This window comes from Homo sapiens, chromosome 1 (genome assembly GCF_000001405.40).
Source record: "Homo sapiens chromosome 1, GRCh38.p14 Primary Assembly".
Taxonomy (NCBI): domain Eukaryota; kingdom Metazoa; phylum Chordata; class Mammalia; order Primates; family Hominidae; genus Homo; species Homo sapiens.
In genome coordinates, this window is record NC_000001.11 from 225,206,848 (window position 1) to 225,230,570 (window position 23,723).

The 23,723-nt window shown below is 40.5% G+C and overlaps 1 protein-coding gene across 26 annotated transcripts in view; it reads left to right on the top strand.

The window, feature by feature from the left end:
* The window catches only part of DNAH14 (dynein axonemal heavy chain 14), a 469,633-nt gene that overhangs the window by 277,194 nt on the left and 168,716 nt on the right, over positions 1-23,723 (top strand). For 25 of the 26 annotated variants that reach the window (XM_011544062.3, XM_011544067.3, XM_017000296.2 and 22 more), the window contains one exon: positions 121-373. The exons of the other annotated variant lie outside the window; for it this stretch is intronic. In XM_011544062.3, the coding sequence (XP_011542364.1) occupies positions 121-373 (253 nt within the window). The remainder of the gene's footprint in view (positions 1-120; positions 374-23,723) is intronic. 26 annotated transcript variants of the gene reach the window in all.

The window sequence follows — 23,723 nt, forward strand, 5'->3', positions numbered from 1 at the left end:
TGACAATTCTAAGTCATATTTATGAGAGGGCAGTGGTGAAGTAAAAAGAGAGTAAGATAGTAGAAGGATACCATATTTTTATTTATTTACATAAGATTATATTTTGCTCCTTATTATTAGGATCCTGTTGATCTGGGATGGGAACCTTATGTTAAGTCATGGCTTCTGAAAACTTCTAAAATTATAAGTCAATCAGGAGTGGATTGTCTTGAATTCATGATTAAAAATAGTGTCACAGACGGACTACAATTTATAAGGAATCGTCAGAAATTTCAGCCATATCCTATGGAGGACATAACAGTCGTCATAACCCTCTGCAGAATTCTTGATGCTTTCTTTGACTTCATGGGTAAAAATGGAGGATTTGAACAAAGTGAGTTTTTTTCTCTAAGTCATATCAATGATATATCTTAGCTAGTCAATGCTAATTCATCACCGTCTATTAGATTTTAGAAAATTTTTCAAAGAGCAGGCATTTTTAGTCTATTTGGACCAACAGCAGATATGCACATGGAACAAATTAAAAACCATTTATAGAGGAACATATCAAAAGTAAATTAGTATCATACAAGTGTTGAAGGATCACAGGAAAAATGATTGTAAAGAACCACTAGAGGGTCTCTATTAAAGAAGAATGTTTTCGCGTATTTTAAAGATTCTCTGAGTTAGAAATAGTGAAAAAAGCCTGTTCAGAATTCCAGGTGTAAGTTGTAATCACACAAAGGCGTAATCATGAAAAGTAGTAAAACATATGTAAGGAGGGATAAACAGATTCAGAAAATCATGTAGTATTATAGATAAGATATTGGTATTGTCTCTGAAGTCAGAATCCCTACATTCAAATACTGGTTTTATGCAGTTTTTGGTAAGATGGCAGATTAGCACAGGCTCCCAATTCTCTCTCTGAAACCAGTTTTGGATTCATCAAACCAATATAGAAATCATTATAAATCCCTGAGGTGACGTAAGATGGTTAGATCCCAACAAGAGGAAGCAGCAACACTGAACAACCCTGGACGCCATGAATAGGAGATAAAGTGGAAGAAAATATTTAGGTGTGTACTTTCCCCATCAACTCAACTCTGAATGGGCTATTGTCCATCCTTTGCCAGTTAGTACACCACAGCACAGCTAGGGGCAACAACAAAATGTCCTATTGGCAGGGAAGCCTAACTGGGTTAGGGAGTAGGTAAAAACATATTTTCTCCTACTGCCACCCCCCTTCAAATCTTAAACCAAGATGATTAAAAAAGAGAGACCACACTTAGAACAGTGCCAGAGTGGATACAGATTGTTAACACACAAGTGACCTGCTTTGAAGAGTGACCACACACAAGTGACCTGCTTTGAAGAGTGACCACTCCCTCCCCAGATTCACACTTCTGAATTCATCAGAAGTGTAACCCAGGAAAGTTGCAGTACTGGAAACAAAGCAAAAAGAATCAGTTAAAAAAAAACAACAACTGGAGGTTAGAAGTAAAAAAAAATGTATTAGTTAAAATAACATAATAAATGGGTTGAATGCTGGATTGGTTAGCTGTATAACAGATTAGTGAGAGCCATAACAACAGTCAAGGAACTCTCAGAATGCATCAGGAAGAGCTAAAGAGGTTAAATATTATGTATTTTAAATATACAACAAATATGTTTCTATAATACAGAAATATGTGTATATAGTTGAAAGATGAATAAAAATTGAAAGGTTAACATTCATATAACAGAACCTCCAGAAAGATATAGTAAAAATAAATAGAGGGGAAGAAATGTTTCAGGAAATAATTGCCTAGGAGTTCAGAGAATTAGAGAAAATATGAGACCTAAGATTGAATAGGATCCTGGAGTATTTAAACATGACAAAAAGTAAAAACCCACACCTAGAAATGTTAGATAGATAAATTTTCCTACACCTCTTGGATGTTCTGTTCTTTTTTGTTTGTTTTCTTTATTCTCTTTGTGTTTCTGTTTGGTTGATTTCTATTGACTTGTCCTCCAATTTACTGATTCCTTGCTCTGCTACATGCAGTCTGCTGTAAGCCCATTGAAAGAATTCTCATATTTGATATTGTGGTTTTTATTTCCAGCATTTCCATTGACCTTCTTATAGTTTTCATCTCTCTTCTGGAATTCCCTCTCTGTCCATGAATGATTTCTTCCTTCAACATTAGATCTTTTACATTTTAATCATAGTTTTTTAAAAAAATTCCTGACTGATAATTTCAACATCTGGCCATCTCTGGGTCTGTTCTTTTGACTGCTTTATCTCTTGGCAACATGACTTTTCTTAATCTTTCTTATTTTTATGTCTCATAATTTTTAATTGAATACCAGATATTGTGTATAAAAGAAATTAGAGACTGAGGTATACAGTAGTTATACCTGGAAATGGGCATACTTTTTCTTCTGCCACATTGTTCAGGTAGTGGCACAGTGGGTTGAGTCAATATTGACCTAGATTTGGCTGTTAGTGTTACTATAGTTACCTTCAGTGCACCACAGACTTTAAATTTTCCATGCTCCTGTACCTTTCCTGGCAATAGATTGCTGTTGTTTGTTACTTGGTTCAAGGTTCATGGTGGGAACAGGGGAGATTTACAGGTTCTCATGTTATAGCCTCATTTTAAGGCAGGGTCTGTGCACCTGAGCCTCAGGCATGGTGTTTCTCAGCAAAGAAACAATTTATTGTGAATAGCTACATTCAATATCAATTTATGAATAATACCTAAGATTAAAGAACGATTCTAAGAAATTTCAGAGGATAAAGACAACAATAACAAGAGAAGATGAACGCAAGATTTGTTAATATCAATATGGTTCAAGAAGAAATGAAGTAGTATTTTTAAAGTGTTTTATATTTAGCTAATATATGATTTAAGCATGAGAAGTGCCAGTCTGCAGGTCCCAGCGAGATCAACGCAGAAGGTGGGTGATTTCTGCATTTCCAACTGAGGTACCCAGCTCATCTCAATAGGACTGGTTAGACAGTGAGTGTAGCCCACAAAGGGCGAGCAGAAGCAGGGTGGGGCATCACCTCACAAGGGAAGTACAATGGGTCAGGGAACTCCCTCCCCTAGCCAAGAGAAGTTGTGAGGGACAATGCCATGAGGAACAGTGCATTCTGGCCCAGATACTATGCTTTTCCCATGGTCTTCGCAACCTGCAGACCAGGAGATTCCCTTGGGTGCCTACACCACAAGGGCCTTGGGTTTCAAGCACGAAACTGGGTGGCTATTACGGCAGACACCGAGCTAGCTGCAGGAGTTTTTCTTCGTACCCCAGTGGGGTACTTACTGGCCTGTAATGCCAGTAAGACAGAATCATTCACTGCCCTGGAAAGGAGGCTGAAACCAGAAAGCCACGTGGTCTAGTTCAGCAGATCCCAACCCCAGGGAGCCCAGCAAGCTAAGATCCAATGGCTTGAAATTCTTGCTGCCAGCACAGCAGTATGAAGTTTACCTGGGACTCTCGAGCTTGGTATGGGGAAGGGCATCCACCATTACAGAGGCTTGAATAGGCAGTTTTCCCCTCACTGTGTAAACAAAGGAACTGGGAAGTTCAAACTAGGCAGAGCCCAACACAGCACCGCAAAGCCACTGTATCCAGACTGCCTCTCTAGATTCCTCCTCTCTGGGCAGGGCATTTCTGAAAGAAAGGCAGCAGCCCAAGTCAGGGGCTTATAGATAAAACTCCCATCTGCCTGGGACAGAGCACCTGGGGGAAGGGTTGGCTGCTGCTTCAGCAGACTTAAACATTCCTTCTGCTGTCTCAGAAGAGAGCAGTGGCTCTTCCAGCACAGTGCTCGAGCTCTGCTAAAGGACAGACTGCCTCAAGTGGGTCCCTGACCCCCGAGCCTCCTGACTGGGATAAACCTCCCAGCAGGGGCCAACAAACACCTCATACAGGAGAGCCCCAGCTGGCATCTGGTGGGTGCCCCTGTGGGATGAAGCTTACAGAGGAAGGAGCAGGCAGCAATCTTTGCTGTTCTGCAACCTCCGCTGCTGATACCCAGGCAAACAGGATCTGGAGTGGACCTCTAGCAAACTCCAACAGACCTGCAGCAAAGAGTCCTGACTATTAGAAGGAAAACTAACAAACAGAAAGGAAGAGCATCAACATCAACAGAAAGTAAGTCCACACAGAAGCCTCATCTGAAGGTCACCAGCATCAAAGACCAAAGGTAGATAAATCCATGAAGATGAGGAAAAACCAGCACACCAAGGCTGAAAATTCCAAAAACCAGAATGCCTCTTCTCCTCCAAAGGATTACAATTCCTCGCCAGGAAGGCAACAAAACTGAATGGAGAATGAGTTTGATGAACTGACAGAAGTAGGCTTCAGAAGGTGGGTAATAACAAACTCCTCTGAGCTACAGGAGCATGTTCCAACCCAATGCCAGTAAGCTAAGAACCTTGAAAAATGGTTAGAGGAATTGATAAGTAGACTAACCAGTTTAGAGAAGAAAATAAATGACCTGTTGGAGCTGAAAAACACAGCAAGAGAACTTCATGAAGCATACACATGTATCAATAACTGAATAGATCAATCAGAAGAAAGAATATCAGAGATTAAAGATCAATTTGATGAAATAATGCATTAGGATTAGAGAAAAAAGAATGAAAAGGAATGAACAAAGCCTCCAAGAAATATGGAACTATGTGAAAAGACCAAACCTACATTTGATTGGTGTACCTGAAAGTGGTGGGGAGAATAGAACCAAGCTGGAAAACACTCTTCAAGATATCCAGAAGAACTTCCCCAACCTAGCAAGCCAGGCCAAAATTCAAATTCAAGAAATACAGAGAACAATAAAAAGACTCCTCAAGAAGAGAAACCCCAAGACACATAATTGTCAGATTCACCAAGGTTGAAATGAAAAAAAATCTTAAGGGCAACCAGAGAGAAAGGTTGGGTTACCCACAAAGGGAAGCCCATCAGACTAACAGTATATCTCTCTGCAGAAACCCTACAAGCCAGAAGAGAGTGGGGGCCAATATTCAACATTCTTAAAGGAAAGAATTTTCAACCCAGAATTTATTTATTTATTTATTTATTTATTTATTTATTTATTTATTTTTATTATACTTTAAGTTCTAGGGTACATGTGCACAACGTGCAGGTTTGTTACGTATGTATACATGTGCCTTGTTGGTGTGCTGCACCTGTTAACTCATCATTTACATTAGGTATATCTCCTAATGCTATCCCTCCCCCCTCCCCCCACCCCAAGACAGGCCCCGGTGTGTAATGTTCCCCACCCTGTGTCAAGTGTTCTCATTGTTCAATTCCCACCTATGAGTGAGAACATGTGGTGTCTGGTTTTCTGTCCTTGTGAGAGTTTGCTGAGAATGATGGTTTCCAGCTTCATCCATGTCCCTACAAAGGACATGAACTCATCCTTTTTTATGGCTGCATAGTATTCCATAGTGTATATGTGCCATATTTTCTTAATCCAGTCTATCATTGATGGACATTTGGGTTGGTTCCAACTCTTTGAGATTGTGAATAGTGCCGCAATAAACATACGTGTGCATGTGTCTTTATAGCAACATGATTTATAATCCTTTGGGTATATACCCAGTAATGGGATGGCTGGGTCAAATGATATTTCTAGTTCTAGATCCCTGAGGAATCGCCACACTGTCTTCCACAATGATTGAACTAGTTTACAGTCCCACCAACAGTGTAAAAGTGTTCCTATTTCTCCACATCCTCTCCAGCACCTGTTGTTTCCTGACTTTTTAATGATCACCATTCTAACTGGTGTGAGGTGGTATCTCATTGTGGTTTTGATTTGCATTTCTCTGATGGCCAATGATGATGAGCATTTTTTCATGTGTTTTTTGGCTGCATAAATTTCTTCTTTTGAGAAGTGTCTGTTCATATCGTTTGCCCACTTTTTGACGGGGCTGTTTGATTTTTTTTCTTGTAAATTCGTTTAACTTCTTTGTAGATTCTGGATATCAGCCCTTTGTCAGAAGGGTAGATTGTAAAAATTGTTTCCCATTCTGTAGGTTGCATTTTCACTCTGATGGTAGTTTCTTTTGCTGTGCAGAAGCTCTTTAGTTTAATTAGATCCCATTTGTCAATTTTGGCTTTTGTTGCCATTACTTTTGGTGTTTTAGTCATGAAGTCCTTGCCCATGCCTATGTCCTGAATGGTATTGCCTAGATTTTCTTCTAGAGTTTTTATGGTTTTAGGTCTAACATTTAAGTCTTTGATCCATCTTGAATTAATTTATGTATAAGATGTAAGGAAGTGATCCAGTTTCAACTTTCTACATATGGCTAGCGAGTTTTCCCAGCACCATTTATTAAATAGGGAATCCTTTCCCCATTTCCTGTTTTTGTCAGGTTTGTCAAAGATCAGATGGTTGTAGATGTGTGGTATTATTTCTGGGGGCTCTATTCTGTTCCATTGGTCTATATCTCTGTTTTGGTACCCGTACCATGCTGTTTTGGTTACTGTAGCCTTGTAGTACAGTTTGAAGTCAGAAAGCATGATGCCTCCAGCTTTGTTCTTGGCTTAGGATTGACTTGGCAATGGGGGCTCTTTTTTGGTTCCATATGAACTTTGAAGTAGTTTTATCCAATTCTGTGAAGAAAGTGATTGGTAGCTTGAAGAGGATGGCATTGAATCTATAAATTACCTTGGGCAGTATGGCCATTTTCACAATGTTGATTCTTCCTTTCCATGAGCATGAGATGTTCTTCCATTTGTTTGTGTCCTCTTTTATTTCGTTGAGCAGTGGTTTCTAATTCTCCTTGAAGAGGTCCTTCACATCCCTTGTAAGTTGGATTCCTAGGTATTTTATTGTCTTTGAAGCAATTGTGAATGAGAGTTTACTCATGATTTGGCTCTCTGTTTGTCTGTTACTGGGGTATAGGAATGCTTGTGATTTTTGCATATTGATTTTGTATTGTGAGACTTTGCTGAAGTTGCATATCAGCTTAAGGAGATTTTGGGCTGAGACGATGGGGTTTTCTAGATATACACTCATGTCATCTGCAAACAGGGATAATTTGACTTCCTCTTTTCCTAATTGAATACCCTTTATTTCTTTCTCTTGCCTGATTGCCCTGGTCAGAACTTCCAACACTATGTTGAATAGGAGTGGTGACAGAGGGTATCCCTGTCTTGTGCCAGTTTTCAAAGGGAATGCTTCCAGTTTTTGCCCATTGAGTATGATATTGGCTATGGGTTTGTCATAAATAACTCTTATTATTTTGAGATACATCCCGTCAATACCTAGTTTATTGAGAGTGTTTAGCATGAAGAGCTGTTGAATTTTTTCGAAGGCCTTTTCTGTATCTATTGAGATAATCATGTGGTTTTTGTCTTTGGTTCTGTTTATATGATGGATTACGTTTGTTGATTTGCATATGTTGAACCAGCCTTGCATCCCAGGGATGAAGCCCACTTGATCATAGTGGATAAGCTTTTTGATGTGCTGCTGGATTCGGTTTGCCAGTATTTTATTGAGGATTTTTGCATCGATGTTCATCAAGGATATTGGTCTAAAATTCTCTTTTTTGGTTGTGTCTCTGCCCAGCTTTGGTATCAGGATGATGCTGGCCTCATAAAATGAATTAGGGAGGATTCCCTCTTTTTCTACTGATTGGAATAGTTCAGAAGGAATGGTACCAGCTCCTCCTTGTACCTCTGGTAGAATTCAGCTGTGAATCCATCTGCTGCTAGACTTTTTTTGGTTGGTAGGCTATTAACTATTGCCTCAATTTCAGAGTCTGTTATTGATGTATTCAGGGATTTTACTTCTTCCTGGTTTAGTCTTGGGAAGGTGTATGTGTCCAGGAATTTATTCATTTCTTCTAGATTTTCTAGTTTATTTGCATAGAGGTGTTTATAGTATTCTCTGATGGTAGTTTGTATTTCTGTGGGATTGGTGGTGATATCCCCTTTGTCATTTTTTATTGCATCTATTTTATTCTTATCTCTTTTATTCTTTATTAGTCTTGCTAGCAGTCTATCAATTTTGTTGATCTTTTCAAAAAACCAGCTCCTGGATTCATTGATTTTTTGAAGGGTTTTTTGTGTCTCTATCTCCTTCAGTTCTGCTCTGATCTTAGTTATTTCTTGCCTTCTGCTAGCTTTTGAATGTGATTGCTCTTGCTTCTCTAGTTCTTTTAATTGTGATGTTAGGGTGTCAATTTTAGATCCTTCCTGCTTTCTCTTGTGGTCATTTAGTACTATAAATTTCCCTCTACACACTGCTTTAAATGTGTTCCAGAGATTCTGGTATGTTGAGTCTTTGTTCTCATTGGTTTCAAAGAACATCTTTATTTCTGCCTTCATTTCGTTATATACCTAGTAGTCATTCAGGAGCAGGTTGTTCAGTTTCCATGTAGTTGAGCAGTTTTAGTGAGTTTGTTAATCCTGAGTTGTAATTTGATTTCACTGTGGTCTGAGAGGTAGTTCGTTATAATTTCTGTTCTTTTACATTTGCTGAGGACTGCTTTACTTCCAACTATGTGGTAAATTTTGGAATAAATGCGATGTGGTGCTGAGAAGAATGTATATTCTGTTGATTTGGGGTGGAGAGTTCTGTAGATTTCTATGAGGCCTGCTTGGTGCAGAGCTGAGTTCAATTCCTGGATATCTTTGTTAACTTTCTGTCTCGTTGATCTGTCTAATGTTGACAGTGGGGTGTTAAAGTTTCCCAGTATTATTCTATGGGAGTCTAAGTCTCTAAGAACTTGCTTTATGAATCTGGGTGCTCTTGTATTGGGTGCATATATATTTAGGATAGTTAGCTCTTCTTGTTGAATTGATCCCTTTACCATTATGTGATGGCCTTCTTTGTCTCTTTTGATCTTTGTTGATTTAAAGTCTGTTTTATTAGAGACTAGGATTGCAACCCTGCCTTTTTTTAACTTTCCGTTTGCTTGGTAGATCTTTCTCCATCCCTTTATTTTGAGCCTGTATGTGTCTCTGCACATGAGATGGGTATCCTGAATACAGCACTCTGATGGGTCTTGACTCTTTATCCAATTTGCCAGTCTCTGTCTTTTAATTCAAGCATTTAGCCCATTTGCATTTAAGATTAATATTGTTATGTGTGAATTTGATCCTGTCATTATGATGTTAGCTAGTTATTTTGCTCGTTAGTTGATGCAGTTTCTTCCTAGCCTCAATGGTCATTACAATTTGGCATGTTTTTGCAGTGGCTAGTACTGATTGTTCCTTTCCATGTTTAGTGCTTCCTTCAGGAGCTCTTGTAAGGCAGGCCTGACGGTGACAAAATGTCTCAGCATTTGCTTGTCTGTAAAGGATTTTATTTCTCCTTCACTTACGAAGCTTAGTTTGGCTGGATATGAAATTCTGGGTTGAAAATTCTTTCCTTTAAGAATGTTGAATATTGGCTCCCACTCTCTTCTGGCTTGTAGAGTTTCTGCCAAGAGATCCACTGTTAGTCTGATGGGCTTCCCTTTGTGGGTAACCCAACCTTTCTCTCTGGCTGCCCTTAATGTTTTTTCCTTCATTTCAACTTTGGTGAATCTGACAGTATGTGTCTTGGAGTTGCTCTTCTCGAGGAGTATCTTTGTGGCATTCTCTGTATTTCCTGAATTTGAATGTTGGCCTGCCTTGCTAGGTTGTGGAAGTTCTCCTGGATAATATCTTGCAGAGTGTTTTCCACCTTGGTTCCATTCTCCCAGTCACTTTCTGGTACACCAATCAGACGTAGATTTGGTCTTTTCACATAATCCCATATTTCGTGGAGGTTTTGTTCATTTCTTTTTACTCTTTTTTCTCTAAACTTCTCTTCTCACTTCATTTCATTCATTTGATCTTCAATCAGTTATACCCTTTCTTCCACTTGATCAAATTGGCTACTGAAGCTTGTGCATCTGTCATGTAGTTCTTGTGCCATGGTTTTCAGCTCCATCAGGTCATTTAATGACTTCTCTACACTGTTTATTCTAGTTAGCCATTCGTCTAATCTTTTTTCAAGGTTTTTAGCTTCTTTGCAATGGGTTCGAACATCCTCCAATAGCTCAGAGAAGTTTGTTATTACTGATCATCTGATGCCTTCTTCTATCAACTCATCAAAGTCATTCTCCATCCAGCTTTGTTCCGTTGCTGTAGAGGAGCTTCATTCCTTTGGAGGAGAAGAGGCGCTCTGATTTTTAGAATTTTCAGCTTTTCTGCTCTGGTTTCTCCCCTCGTTTGTGGTTTTATCTACCTTTGGTCTTTGATGATGGTGATGTACAGATGGGGTTTTGGTGTGGATGTCCTTTCTGTTTGTTAGTTTTCCTTCTAACAGTCAGGACCCTCAACTGCAGGTCTGTTGGAGTTTGCTGGAAGTCCACTCCAGACACTGTTTGCCTGGGTATCACCAGCGGAGGCTGCAGAACAGCAAATATTGCAGAACAGCAAATGTTGCTGTGTGATCCTTCTTCTGGCAGCTTCATCTCAGAGGTGCACTGCCCTGCGAGGTGTCAGTTGACCCCTACTGGGAGGTGTCTCCCAGTTAGGCTCCTCAGGCATCAGGGACTCACTTGAGGAGGCAGTCTGTCTGTTCTCAGATCTCAAACTCCATGCTGGGAGAAGCACTACTCTCTTCAAAGCTGTTAGACAGGGACGTTTAAGTCTGCAGAAGTTTCTGCTGCCTTTTTTTCAGCTATGCCCTGCCCCCAGAGGTGGAATCTGCAGAGGCAGGCAGGCCTCCTTGAGCTGCGGTGGGCTCCACCCAATTGGAGCTTCCAGGCCGCTTTGTTTACCTTTTCAAGCCTCAGCAATGGTGGACGCCCCTCCCCCAGCCTCACTGCCACCTTGCAGTTCGATCTCAGACTGCTGTGCTGGCATTGTGTGAGGCTCCATGGGTGTGGGACCCTCCGAGCCAGGCGCTGGATATAATCTCCTGGTGTGCCATTTGCTAAGGCCGTTGCAGAAGCGCAGTATTAGGGTAGGAGTGTCCCGATTTTCCAGGTACCGTCTGTCACGGCTTCCCTTTGCTAGGAAAGGGAATTCCCTGATCCCTTGGGCTTCCCGGGTGAGGCAATGCCCCACCCTGCTCCATGGGCTGCACCTACTGTCTGCCAAGCCCCAGTGAGATGAACCTGGTACCTCAGTTGGACTTGCAGAAATCACCCGTCTTCTGCATTGCTCACACTTGGAGCTGCAGACTATAGCTGTTCCTATTTGTCCATCTTGGAACCTCCTAGTCCCAACCCAGAATTTAATATCCAGCCAAACTAAGCTTCATAAGCAAAGGAGAAACAAAATCCTTTATAGACAAGCAAATGCTGAGAGATTTGGTCATCACCAGGCCTGCCTTACAAGAGCTCCTGAAGGAAGCACTAAATATGGAAAGGGAAAACTAGTACCAGCCACTCCAAAAACATACCAAATTGTAAAGATCATCAACACTATGAAGAAACTAATCAACTAGTGGGTAAAATAACCAGCTAGCATTATAATGACAGGGTCAAATTTACACATAACAATATTAACCTTAAATGTAAATGGGCTAAATGCCCCAGTTGAAAGACACAGACTGGCTCATTGGATAAAGAGTCAAGACCCATCAGTGTGCTGTATTCAGGAGACCCATCTCATGTACAAAGACACACATAGGCTCAAAATAAAGGGATAGAAGAAGATCTACCAAGCAAATGGAAACCAAAAAAAAAAAAAGCAGGGGTTGCAATCCTTGTCTCTGGTAAAACAGACTTTTAACCAACAAAGCTCCAAAGAGACAAAGAAGGGCATTACATAATGGTAAAGGGATCAATGCAACAAGAAGAGCTAACAATCCTAAATATGTATGCATCCAATACAGGAGAATACAAGATTCATAAAGCAAGTTCTTAGAGACCGACAAACAGACTTAGACTCCCACACAATAATAATGGGAGACTTTAACACCCCACAGTCAATATTAGATCAACAAGACAGAAAATTCACAAGGATATCCAGGACTTGAACTCAGCTCTGGACCAAGTAGGCCTAATACACATCTACAGAACTCTCCACCCTAAATCTACAGAATATACATTCTTCTCAGCACCACATCACACTTTTTCTAAAATTGACCACATAATTTGAAGTAATGCACTCCTCAGCAAATGCAAAAAATGGAAATCATAACAGTCTCTCAGACCACAGTGCAATCAAGTTAGAACTCAGGATTAACGAACTCACTCAAAACCACACAACTACATGGAAACTGAACAACCTGCTTCTGAACGACTACTGGGTAAATAACGAAATTATTAGCTAGGTAAATAACAGAAATGACTAAGTTTTTAAAATGAATGAGAACAAAGACACAGCCTACCAGAATCACTGGGACACAGCTAAAGCAGTGTTTAGAGGGAAATGTATATCACTAAATGCCCACGTCAGAAAGCAGGAAAGATCTAAAATCAACACCCTAACATTACAATTAAAAGAACTAGAGAAGCAAGAGCAAACAAATTCAAAGGCTATCAGAAGACAAGAAATAACTAAGATCAGAGCAGAACTGAAGGAAATAGAGACAGGAGAAACCCTTCAAAAAAATCAGTGAATCCAGGAGCTGGTTTAAAAAAAAAAAAATAGACAGCTAGCCAGAATAATATAGAAGAAAAGAGACAAGAATCAAATAGACACAATAAAAAATGATAAAGGAGAGATCACCACTGATCCCACAGTAATACAAGCTACCATCAGAGAATACTATAAACACCTCTATGCAAATAAACTAGAAAATCTAAAAGAAATGGATAAATTCCTGGAGACATACGCTCTTCCAAGACTAAACCAGGAAGAAGTTGAATCCCTGAATAGACCAATAAAAAGTTCTGAAATTGAGACAGTAATCCATAGCCTACCAACCAAAAAAAGCCCAGGACCAGACAGATTAACATCTGAATTCTACCAGAGGTACAAAGAGGAGCTAGAACCATTTTTTTCTGAAATTATTCCAAACAATAGAAAATAGGGACTCCTCTATAACTCATTTTATGAAGCCAGCATCATCCTGGTACCAAAACCTGGCAGAGATGCAGAAAAAAAGAAAATTTCAGGCCAGTATCCCTGATGAACATCAATGTGAAAATCCTCAATAAAATACTGGCAAACTGAATCCACCAGCACATCAGAAAGCTTATCTACAATGATCAAGTCAGCTTCATCTCTGGGATGCAAGGCTGGTTCAACATATGCAAATCAATAAACATAATACATCACATAAGCAGAACCAATGTCGAAAATCATGTGATTATCTCAATAGATGCAGAAAAGGCCTTCGATATAATTCAACACACCTTTATGCTAAAAACACTCAATAAACTAGATATTGATAGAACATATCTCAAAATAATAAGAGCTATTTATGACAAACCCACAGCCAATGTCATACTGAATGAGCAAAAGCTGGAAGCATTCCCCTTGAAAACTGGCACAAGACAAGAATGCCCAGTCTCACCACTCCTAATCAACATAGTATTGGAAGTTCTGGCCTGGGCAATCAGGCAAGAGAAAGAAATAAACTGTATTCAAATAGGAAGAGAGGATGTCAAATTGCCTCTGTTCGCAAATGACATGATTGTACATTTAGAAAACCCATTGTCTCAGCCCTAAAACTCTTAAGCTGATAAGCAACTTCAGCAAAGTCTCAGGATACAAAATCAACGTGCAAAAATCACAAGCATTCTTCTACACCAATAATAGACAAACAGCCAAATCATGAGTGAACTCTTATTGACAATTGCTACAAAGAAAATAAAATACCTAGGAATACAACTTACAAGGGATGTGATGGACCTCTTCAAGGAGAACTACACACCACTGCTCAAGGAAATAAGAGAGGATATAAACAAATGGAAAAATATTCCATGCTCATGGATAGGAAGAATCAATATCGTGAAAATGGCCATACTGCCCAAAATAATTTATAGATTCAATGCTATTCCCATCAAGCTACAATTGATTTTCTTCACAGAATTAGAAAAAAACTACTTTAAATTTCACATGAAACCAAAAATGAGCCTGTATAGCCAAGAGAGTCCTAAGCAAAAAGAGCAAAGCTGGAGGCATCACACTGCCTTACTTCAAACTGTACTACAAGGCTTACAGTAACAAAAACAGCATGGTACTGGTACCAAAACAGATATATAGACCAATGGGACAGAACAGAAGCCTCAGAAATAACACCACACATCTACAACCAGCTGATCTTCGAGAAACTTGACAAAAACAAGCAATGGGGAAAGGATTCTCTATTTAATAAATGATGTTGGGAAAACTGGCTACACATATGCAGAAAACTGAAACTGGACCCATACCTTACACCTTATACAAAAATTAACTCAAGATGGATTAAAAACTTAAACGTCAGACCTAAAAAACATAAAAAACCCTAGAAGAAAACCTAAGCAATACCATTCAGGACATAGGCATGGGCAAAGACTTCACAACTAAGACACCAAAAGCAATGGCAACAAAAGCCAAAATTGACAAATAGTATCTAATTAAACCAAAGACCTTCTGCACAGCAAAAGAAACTATCATCAGAGTCAACAGGCAACCTACAGATTGGGAGAAAACATTTGCAATCTGTGCCTCTGACAAAGGGCTAATATCCAGAATCCACAAGGAACTTAAACAAATTTACAAGAAAAAGAAAACCATCAAAAAGCAGGTAAAGGATATGAACAGACACTTTTGAAAAGAAGACATTTATGCAGCCAACAAACATGAAAAAAAGCTCATCTTCACTGGTCATTAGAAAAATGCAAATCAAAACCACAATGAGATACCATCTCATGCCAGTTAGAATAGTGACCACTAAAAAGTCAGGAAACAACAGATGCTGTGTAGGAGATCAGTCAGGGTGATGGGAGAAATTATAAGGAAAGATGCAAACCTTCTTGGAAGGCCAGGAGGTTTTGCAAAGCTTCAGGGAAGAATGAACTGAAGGCAGCTGTTCTTACCCAGGGTCAAAGGGCATAGGTATAAAGGAATGTAGAGGAGTTACTCTAAATAGGTTGTTTACTGATGTTGTCCTAAAACAGACCTTTGATCGTTTGCACACAGGACTGCTCTCAATTCAGGGGGTCAACTATGTTTATTACCCACAAATTGTGTTTGCTCCAAGCCTTTGTCATTAAATCTGTACTGAAAAAATGCAATTATTGCCAGCTTATCGGGGCTCACTCTCTCGGCTACTGGACTCTTTTTGGTGGTGCTGAGCTGTGTGGTCCCCTAGCCACGCTGTCAGGCAACCTGTGTCAGCATACTTCTTTCATCTGTCACTCAGCCAGAGTTTGCAGGACAGACTTGGCAGGTGGTGCCTCGTGTGAGGAACACTGCAATGGATCATGTTGGAACCCTCAAAAATGAAGGTAAAGAGACTGCGCTGTCAGTAAGTCAGTAAGTCATTGGTGCCCGCTTGGGATATCCAAGTTTGAGGGAATTGTTCAGGCTTTCATCATGGGACAACAGTTATCAGCTCAACAGCAACAGTATATAAATGTACTGAAACAGCTGTGTCTGGAGTTGGTTTCTTCCAGTGGGTTCATGGTCTCGCTGACTTCAAGAATGAAGCCGTGGACCTTCACAGTAAGTGTTACAGCCCTTAAAGGTGGCACGGACCCAAAGAGTGACCAGCAGCAAGATTTATTTTGAAGAGTGAAAGCTTCCACAACATGGAAGGGGACCCAAGAGGGTTGCCGCTGCTGGCTGGGGTTGCCAGCTTTTATTCCCTTATTTGTCCCTGCCCATGTCCTGCTGATTGGTCCATTTTACAGAGTGCTGATTGGTCCATGTTACAAACCTCTAGCTAGCCACAGAGCACTGATTGGTGCATTTTTACAGAACACTGGTGCATTTTACAAACCTCTAACTAGCCACAGAAAAGTTCTTCAAGCCCCCACCCGACCCAGAAATCCAGCTGGCTTTGCCTCTCACAGCCGCTTAAAGCTGGCGGATCCTCGGTTTTGCAGGCTCAATTAAGGGACCTAATGCAAACTGTTGTGTCCCATAACCCATGGTTCCCAGAAGAGGGTACACTAGACATAGAGCTCTGGGAACAAGTGGGGAGAAATTTTAAACAAGATCATGCACAAGGGCAATGGGTCCCAGTAACATCTCTGATATTATGGGCTTTACTTAGGGCTGCTTTGCTCAATTCTACACAGAAGAGCCTAAAAAGGGAAGGGAGGAGGAATCATCACCTACCTTACCACCTCCTCCTTCTCCTTCAGCCCAGCCATTACCAGGCAAAAATAACAAAGAGAAAACAGAGGTTTTGCCTGAGCCCCCTCCTCCTGTAAATTGGAAAAAAGAAAAGGGATACACTACAGCTATGGGACCCTGTCTTAGGCAAGCGACATTAGAAGGGGAGCTCTTAGCCTGCCCGGTAATGCAAGATCGACAAAACAATCAGGTATACAAACCCATTTCTTTTGACACTTATAAAGAGATAAGAAAAAGCATTAAAGAAAATGGAGCCACTAGCCCATTTACCAAAGGGTTAATTGAGGTCACTTTGCAGACCTCTTTCTAGTAATGGCCACTGTTATTCCTCCTCTACCCCTGATGTAGCTCTCTCAAAATCCTATTTGGGTAGACCAGTGACCTTTAAAGGGAGACAAGTTACAAAGAGCCCATGAATTAGTTGAGGAGTAATTAAAAGTCGGCCATATAGAACCATCAAACACCCCTTGGAATTCGCCCATTTTTGTCATTCCCAAAAGATCTGGCAAATGGAGACTTTTGCATGATTTACAGGCTATCAATGCTAATTTGCAACCTATGGGGCCTCTTTAACAGGGCCTCCCTTCCCCCATGGCGATTCCTGAAGATTGGCCTCTAGTCGTTATTGACTTAAAGGACGACTTCTATACTATTCCCCTTGCAGAACAAGACAGAGAAAAATTTGCATTTACCACACCAGCTGTCAATAATGCAAGGCCAGCTCACCAACTTCATTGGAAAGTGCTTTCTCAAGGGATGCTGAACAGTCCTACTATGTGTCAGTATCATGTAAATCAGGCTTTGCTCCCAAGTAGAAAAGAATTTCCTAATTGCAAGATTATTCATTTTATGGATGATATTTTACTAGCAGCCCCAACAGAGCCAGCACTTTTAAGTTTATATGCTTCCATTCTAAAGAATACACAGTTAAGAGGTTTAATCATAGCACCTGAAAAAGTACAATTTTCCTCCCCTTGGAAATATCTTGGATACATACTAACTTCCTGGTCAGTAAGATCTCAAAAGGTTAAATTAAATACTAGCAACTTACACACTTTAAATGATTATCAGACATTACTGGGTGATATTAATTGGCTTTACCCCACCTTGGGCATAACTACTGATAAGTTACGAATCCTGTTTCCTATCCTAAAGGGCAATACAGCCCTAGACTCTCCCACATATTTAACTCCTGCAGCAAAAAGGGAAATTGAGGAAATAGAGCAAGCTATTTCTCAGAGGCAACTAGATTGCATAGACCCGCAATATTCAGTTCAATTGTTTGTTTTCCCTACTAAGCATTCCCCACCAGGATTAGTAGGACAGATAGCCCCCAGGCTGCACTTTCTAAAATGGGTTTTTTTACTCACATACCAGGACTAAAACATTATCTCCCTATATCCAGCTAGTTAGTAAAGTCATCTATACAGGCCACAGATGATGCAGTCAGTTGCTAGGTTATGACCCTGATGTCATCAGAATTCTTTGAGTAAAAGACAATTCAAAGCATATTGCCCCTATCTCTAGATTTTCAGATAGCACTCTCTGATTATGCAGGCCATATAAAACATGCCCTTCCTGCTGAGAAACTAATTCAGTTCTTATCTCATACTCCTGTAGTTGTGCCTACAAAAGTAGTTCACTCCCCCATACCTAACGCTTCTGGTAAAAATAGAAAAGCAGCTATTTGGTGGAGACTGCATAATTTCCTCACTCATTCTGGATTTACTGGCACTCAGAGAGCCGAGGTTGGAGCCTTAATATTGGCCCTGGAGGCCTATTCTGCTTAGCCCATCAATATTGTTAGTGACTGTGCTTACTGTATTTATTGCAGAACCTTGAAACAGCCCTCATTAAGTCCACTCTCAAGCCCACTCTGTGTGCACTTTTTCTTTGACTTCAGCAATTGCTGGGTCAACGTACACGTCCTATTTTTATCACACATATTGGACCCCACAGCTCACTGCTTGGCCCATTGGCTTATGGCAATGATCAAGCAGACCTGCAAGTTACGACATCACTGCTTGACCAAACCACCCAATCACATCTATTTTTCCACCAAAATTGGAGAAATGTACCTAAACAATTTCAACTTACCCAGAGACTAGCTAAACAAATTATCCTGCAATTCCCAGATTGCCAGCTCACAGACACGTTCCCTCCTTCAACAGGTGTTAACCCTAGAGGACTAGAACCTAATTAGTTATGGCAAACAGATGTTAAACACATCCCTGAATTTGGAAAACTAACATATGTACATGTATTCATTGATACCAATTCTCACTTAATTAGTTATCATGCTCTTCCTGGAGAGTCCACCCAATATGTTATTAAACATCTTCTTTTAACTTTTGTGTTTATGGGGTGGCCCACAAAAATTAAAACTGATAATTGTCCAGCTTATGCCAGCTCACAATTTCAACAATTCTGTCCCACATAGAACATCCAACATTCCACAGGCATCCCATATAGTACCCAAGGACAGGCCATAGTAGAACGTGTCCATTCCATTCTTAAAAATATGCTCAGAAAAAAAAGGAGGGGAATATGAGTAAAAACCCTTCAACACTACTAGCACAAGTCTTGTTTACCCTTAATTTTTAAAATTTAGATGATAAATTTCAATCAACCATAAAAAAGCATTTTACTAAAGCCCCTCAAAACATAAAACTTGTGGTTTTATGGAAAGATGTAAATATTAATGTATGGTGTGGTCCAAATGAGTTGCTAACATGGGGAAGAGGATATGCTGTGTTCACACCCCCTCAGGTCCTCTTTGGATTCCAGCACAATGCATAAAACCATCCATGGCATGCTAGGACCCAACCCAGTACCAGAAATGAAGGAAATGTCCCTACAGGACCCGCAGTCCCAGACGATGCAGCTTCCTCAGACAACACAATCCCCAGACATTACCTGTGGGATGCTGAAGACAGCTCAGGAGGCTGAGTGAATCCTGCTCTGGACACAGACACCATTCACTCCAGATAATTTGTTCCTTGATATACTTTCTGTTGTACATTGCAACTCTCATAGGGTAATAAACCTTCTTATTCTCTCACTCTGCCTGCAACCCGCAACTGTTACTCTATGGGCTTATCTCTTAGATCTGCCTTTCTTCCCCTCTGTTACTTGGGCAGACACCTCCTTCCCAGCCTCTAATAACATAACTGCTTGGCTAGGAGGGATTGACTTACCCCCAGTGGGGTCTCTCATTAATGGCACACATTGGACTAAGGTGCCAGGTAACACTATATATCGCTCCACTATCCTCCCGCTGTGTGTAAGTTATAAAAGTTCTAACCTTTATTGTGTGCCCGCCCAAACACAATTATGGCTACATCATGGCAAAGGAAATGCCTTAACATTCTTGGTTGCAGGTAGCCTCAAACCAGGCAACACTACCAATGCCACCTTCCCAAACATTCCTCCCTGTGCTAAAGAACAAAGCCGGAAAAGTAATGGATTCCACTTTAGTTGGGAGGTCTGTCACGGAGGACAAGCCCGTAGCCTCCAGTTAGGCAATTATAACATCTTAGACTGGAGCCACCATGGCCATTTTGAAGGGGGCCTGCCCCTCCACACCTGTGGGTATTTCTTGCAAGGTGGAGATGAGAGACTGAGAAAAGAAATAAGACAGAGACAAAGTATAGAGGAAGAAAAGTGGGCCCAGGGGACCGGCGCTCAGCAAGTGAGGACCTGCACTGGCACTGGTCTCTGAGTTCCCTCAGTATTTATTGATCATTATCTCTACTATTCTGGCAAGGGGGATGTGGCAGAACTATAGGGTCATGGTGGGGAGAGGGTTAGCAGGAAAACATGTGAGCAAAGGACTCTTTGTCATAAATAAGTTTAAGGAAAGGTGCTGTGACTTGATGTGCATGTAGGCCAGATTTATGTTTGACTTTACACAAACATCTCAATGCAGTAAAGAGCAGTATTTCTGCCAGCATGTCTCACCTCCAGTCATAAGGTGGTTTTCTCCTATCTCAGTAAATAGAATGTACAATTGGGTTTTACACCGAGACATTTCATTCCCAGGGATGAGCAGGAGACAGATGCCTTCCTCTTATCTCAACTGCAAAGAGGCCTTCCTCTTTCACTAATCCTCCTCAGCACAGACCCTTTACGGGTGTCAGGCTGGGGGATGATCAGGTCTTTCCCTTCCCATGAGGCCATATCTCAGGCTGTCTCAGTAGGGGGAAACCTTGGACAATACCCAGGCTTTCTTGGGCAGAGGTCCCTGTGGCCTTCCGCAGTGCATTGTGTCCCTGGGTACTTGAGAATGGAGAATGGCGATGACTTTTACCAAGCATACTGCCTGCAAACACAATTTTAACAAAGCACATCCTGCACAGCCCTAAATCCATTAAACCTTGAGTCAATACAACACATGTTTCTGCGAGCACAGGGTTGGGGCTAGGTTTACAGATTAACAGCATCTCAAGGCAGAAAAATTTTTCTTAGTACAGATCAAAATGAAGTTTCTTATGCCTGTCTTTTTCTACATAGACACAGTAACAGTCTGATCTCTCTTTCTTTCCCCCACACATTTGCAGGGTTACCATACTGATGTCCACATCCATTGTGGCATCAATCAGTTTCATAGTCACATCCCATTCCCCTGTGATTTGGGCCAATGGGGAGAGGAGATATCCCAGACCCCAAGTAAAGTCCATGCCACCCCAAGACACTTTATGGTGCCTAGGACATCTTAGCACCTCCCTTAACACCTGGCATGGGACATATCGTAATTCCAGTAACAATTATATTACGAACGTTATTCATAATCACACAGATCAGTGCCTGATTTGCACTACCCATCCATATGTTTTCCTTATGGGAGCTAATATTTCCATTACACCCCAAAACTCCAAGTTTGTGACCTGAGTGCAGGGACAGGCTTGGTTCACCTCATGTATCACTAATTACAGTATATCTAGTTAAAATATTACTAGTGTCATGGTATTAAGGAGAAAATCTGAGGCATTCCTACCAGTCAATTTGACACATGATTGGCAAGGTTCCTCTGCCCTTGCCATCTTAGAATGTGCCCTGTCCTAGGTGAGACCCAAAAGATTCATGGGCACACTTATAGCCTTTAAAATCTCAGCCATAGTCATCTTGGCAACTGCTATTGTTGCTGTGGCCTGTATTACTGAATCAGTACAAATAGCTACCTTTATAGATAACTTGGCCAAAAATGTGTCTAATGAATTCTCTTACAGCAGGGTATAGATCAAAAGATTCTTGCATGCCTGCAAGCCCTTGAAGCTGCCTTGGAATATGTAGGGGAGCAACAAGATGCACTGGCATTCTGACAGCAACTAAACTGTGACTGGGAGCATAAGCATATCTGTGTCACCTCTCTATCTTGGAATCAATCAATATGTAGTTGGGATGAGGTGAAACAACACCTCTGGGGAAACTGATAATTTAACAGCAGACGTAAGGCAACTTAAACTAAAATTCTAGAATCCCTAATCGCCGTAGATCTACATGCCCAACAAACAGCCACATGGAATGATGTGCAAGGACATCTCTCCTGGATAGACCCCCCACTCCTGGGGGGGGTCACTTCTTGATTGGAAAAGAATGATACTGATTATACTCATTTTTGTCTTATGTTATTTACTAATTCTAGGATGCAAAGCTGGAATACGAGTTATAACCACTGCGCCTGACAAACCTGTTGCTGCATGCGTCTGTACTCTTCAATCAACAAAACCTGATGCAAAAAACAGAAAAGGGGGAGATGTAGGAGATTGGTCAGGATTGTGGGAGAAATTATAGGAAAAGATGCAAACCTTCTTGGAAGGCCGGGGGTTTTGCAAAGCTTCAGGGAAGAATGAGCTGAAGGCAGCTGTTCTTACCCAGGGGCAAAGGGCGTAGATACAAAGGAATGTAGAGGAGTTTATCTAAATAGCTTGTTTACTCATGTTGTCCTAAAACCGGCCTTTGATCTTTCGTGTGCAGGACTGCTCTCTACTCAGCGGGGTTGACAATGTTTATTATCACAAATTGTGTTTGCTCCAAGCCTTTGTCATTAAATCTGTACTAAATAAATATGAGTGTAGCCGGCTTATCAGGGCTGCACTCTCTTGGCTGCTGGACTCTCATCTGCAGTGCTGAGCCATGTGGTTCCCTAGCTGTGCAGTCAGGCAAAATACCCGTGTCCACATACTTCTTTCATCCGTCGCTCAACCAGAGTCTTTGGGACAGACTCAGCAATGCTGGAGAGGATGTGGAGAAATAGGAATGCTTTTACACTGTTGGTGGGAGTGTAAATTAGTTCAACCATTCTGGAAGACAGTGTGGTGACTCCTCAAGGATCTAGAACCAGAAATACCATTTGACTCAACAATCCCATTACTGGGTATATACCCAAAGGATTATAAATCATTCTACTATAAAGAAACATGCATATGTATGTTTATTGTAGCACTAGTCACAATAGCAAAGACTTGGAACCAACCCAAATGCCCATCAATGGTGGACTGGATAAAGAAAATATGGCACATATACACCATGGAATACTATGCAGCCATAAAAAAGAATGAGTTCATGTCCTTTGCAGGGACATGGATTAAGCTGGAAACCATCATTCTCAGCAAACTAACACAGGAACAGAAAACCAGACACCACATGTTCTCACTCATAAGCTGGAGTTGAACAATGAGAACATATGGGCACAAGGGGGGAACATCATACACTGGGGCCTGTCAGGGGTGGGGGTCAAGGGGAGGGATAGCACTAGGAGAAATACCTAATGTCAATGATGGGTTGATGGATGCAGCACACCACCATGGTACATGTATACCTATGTAACAAACCTGCACATTCTGCACATGTATCCCAGAACTTAAAGTATAATAAAAAATAAAAATGTATATATTTTTTCATCTTTGGTAGTAGCAGAAGGGGAAGAACACTTAAAGGATCTGCAGAATAAGGGATGCTGAAGTGGGTGATAAAAAATTGATTGAACTTATCTTGGTGAGCTATTTGACATTATATGCTAAAAATATCCATATACTCTGGTCTACTATCCTTTATTCTAGGAATTTATTATAAATAAATAATCAGAGAAGCATAGAAAGATTTATGCACAAGGAGGTGCATTCATAGCAGAATTACTTATAATCATAAAACAACAATTATTTGAATCCCAACAATGGATGAATGGCTTAATAAATTATGATGCAACAAAATCATTTTTCAAAAGATTATTAATAACAAAGAGACAGGCCTAAAAAGCAGAATCAGCACTCAACTCTGTTTTTAGTTTTCTATTTAGGTTCAAATTTTAAAATATTATGTTTTTATATAATCTATATCTTTATATAAAAACCCACAAAGAAATGCATCAACATATTACTAGTTGTTATATTTAGGTGGTGGAATTATGGGTGACTGTTTTCTTCTGTACACTAAAAGAAGCATTTTTTTAATATTAAGAAAACAAATATAAAAATAAGCTACAAGGAAGAATGAATAATTACTCTTTGTGTTTCTCTGTGGAATGAATT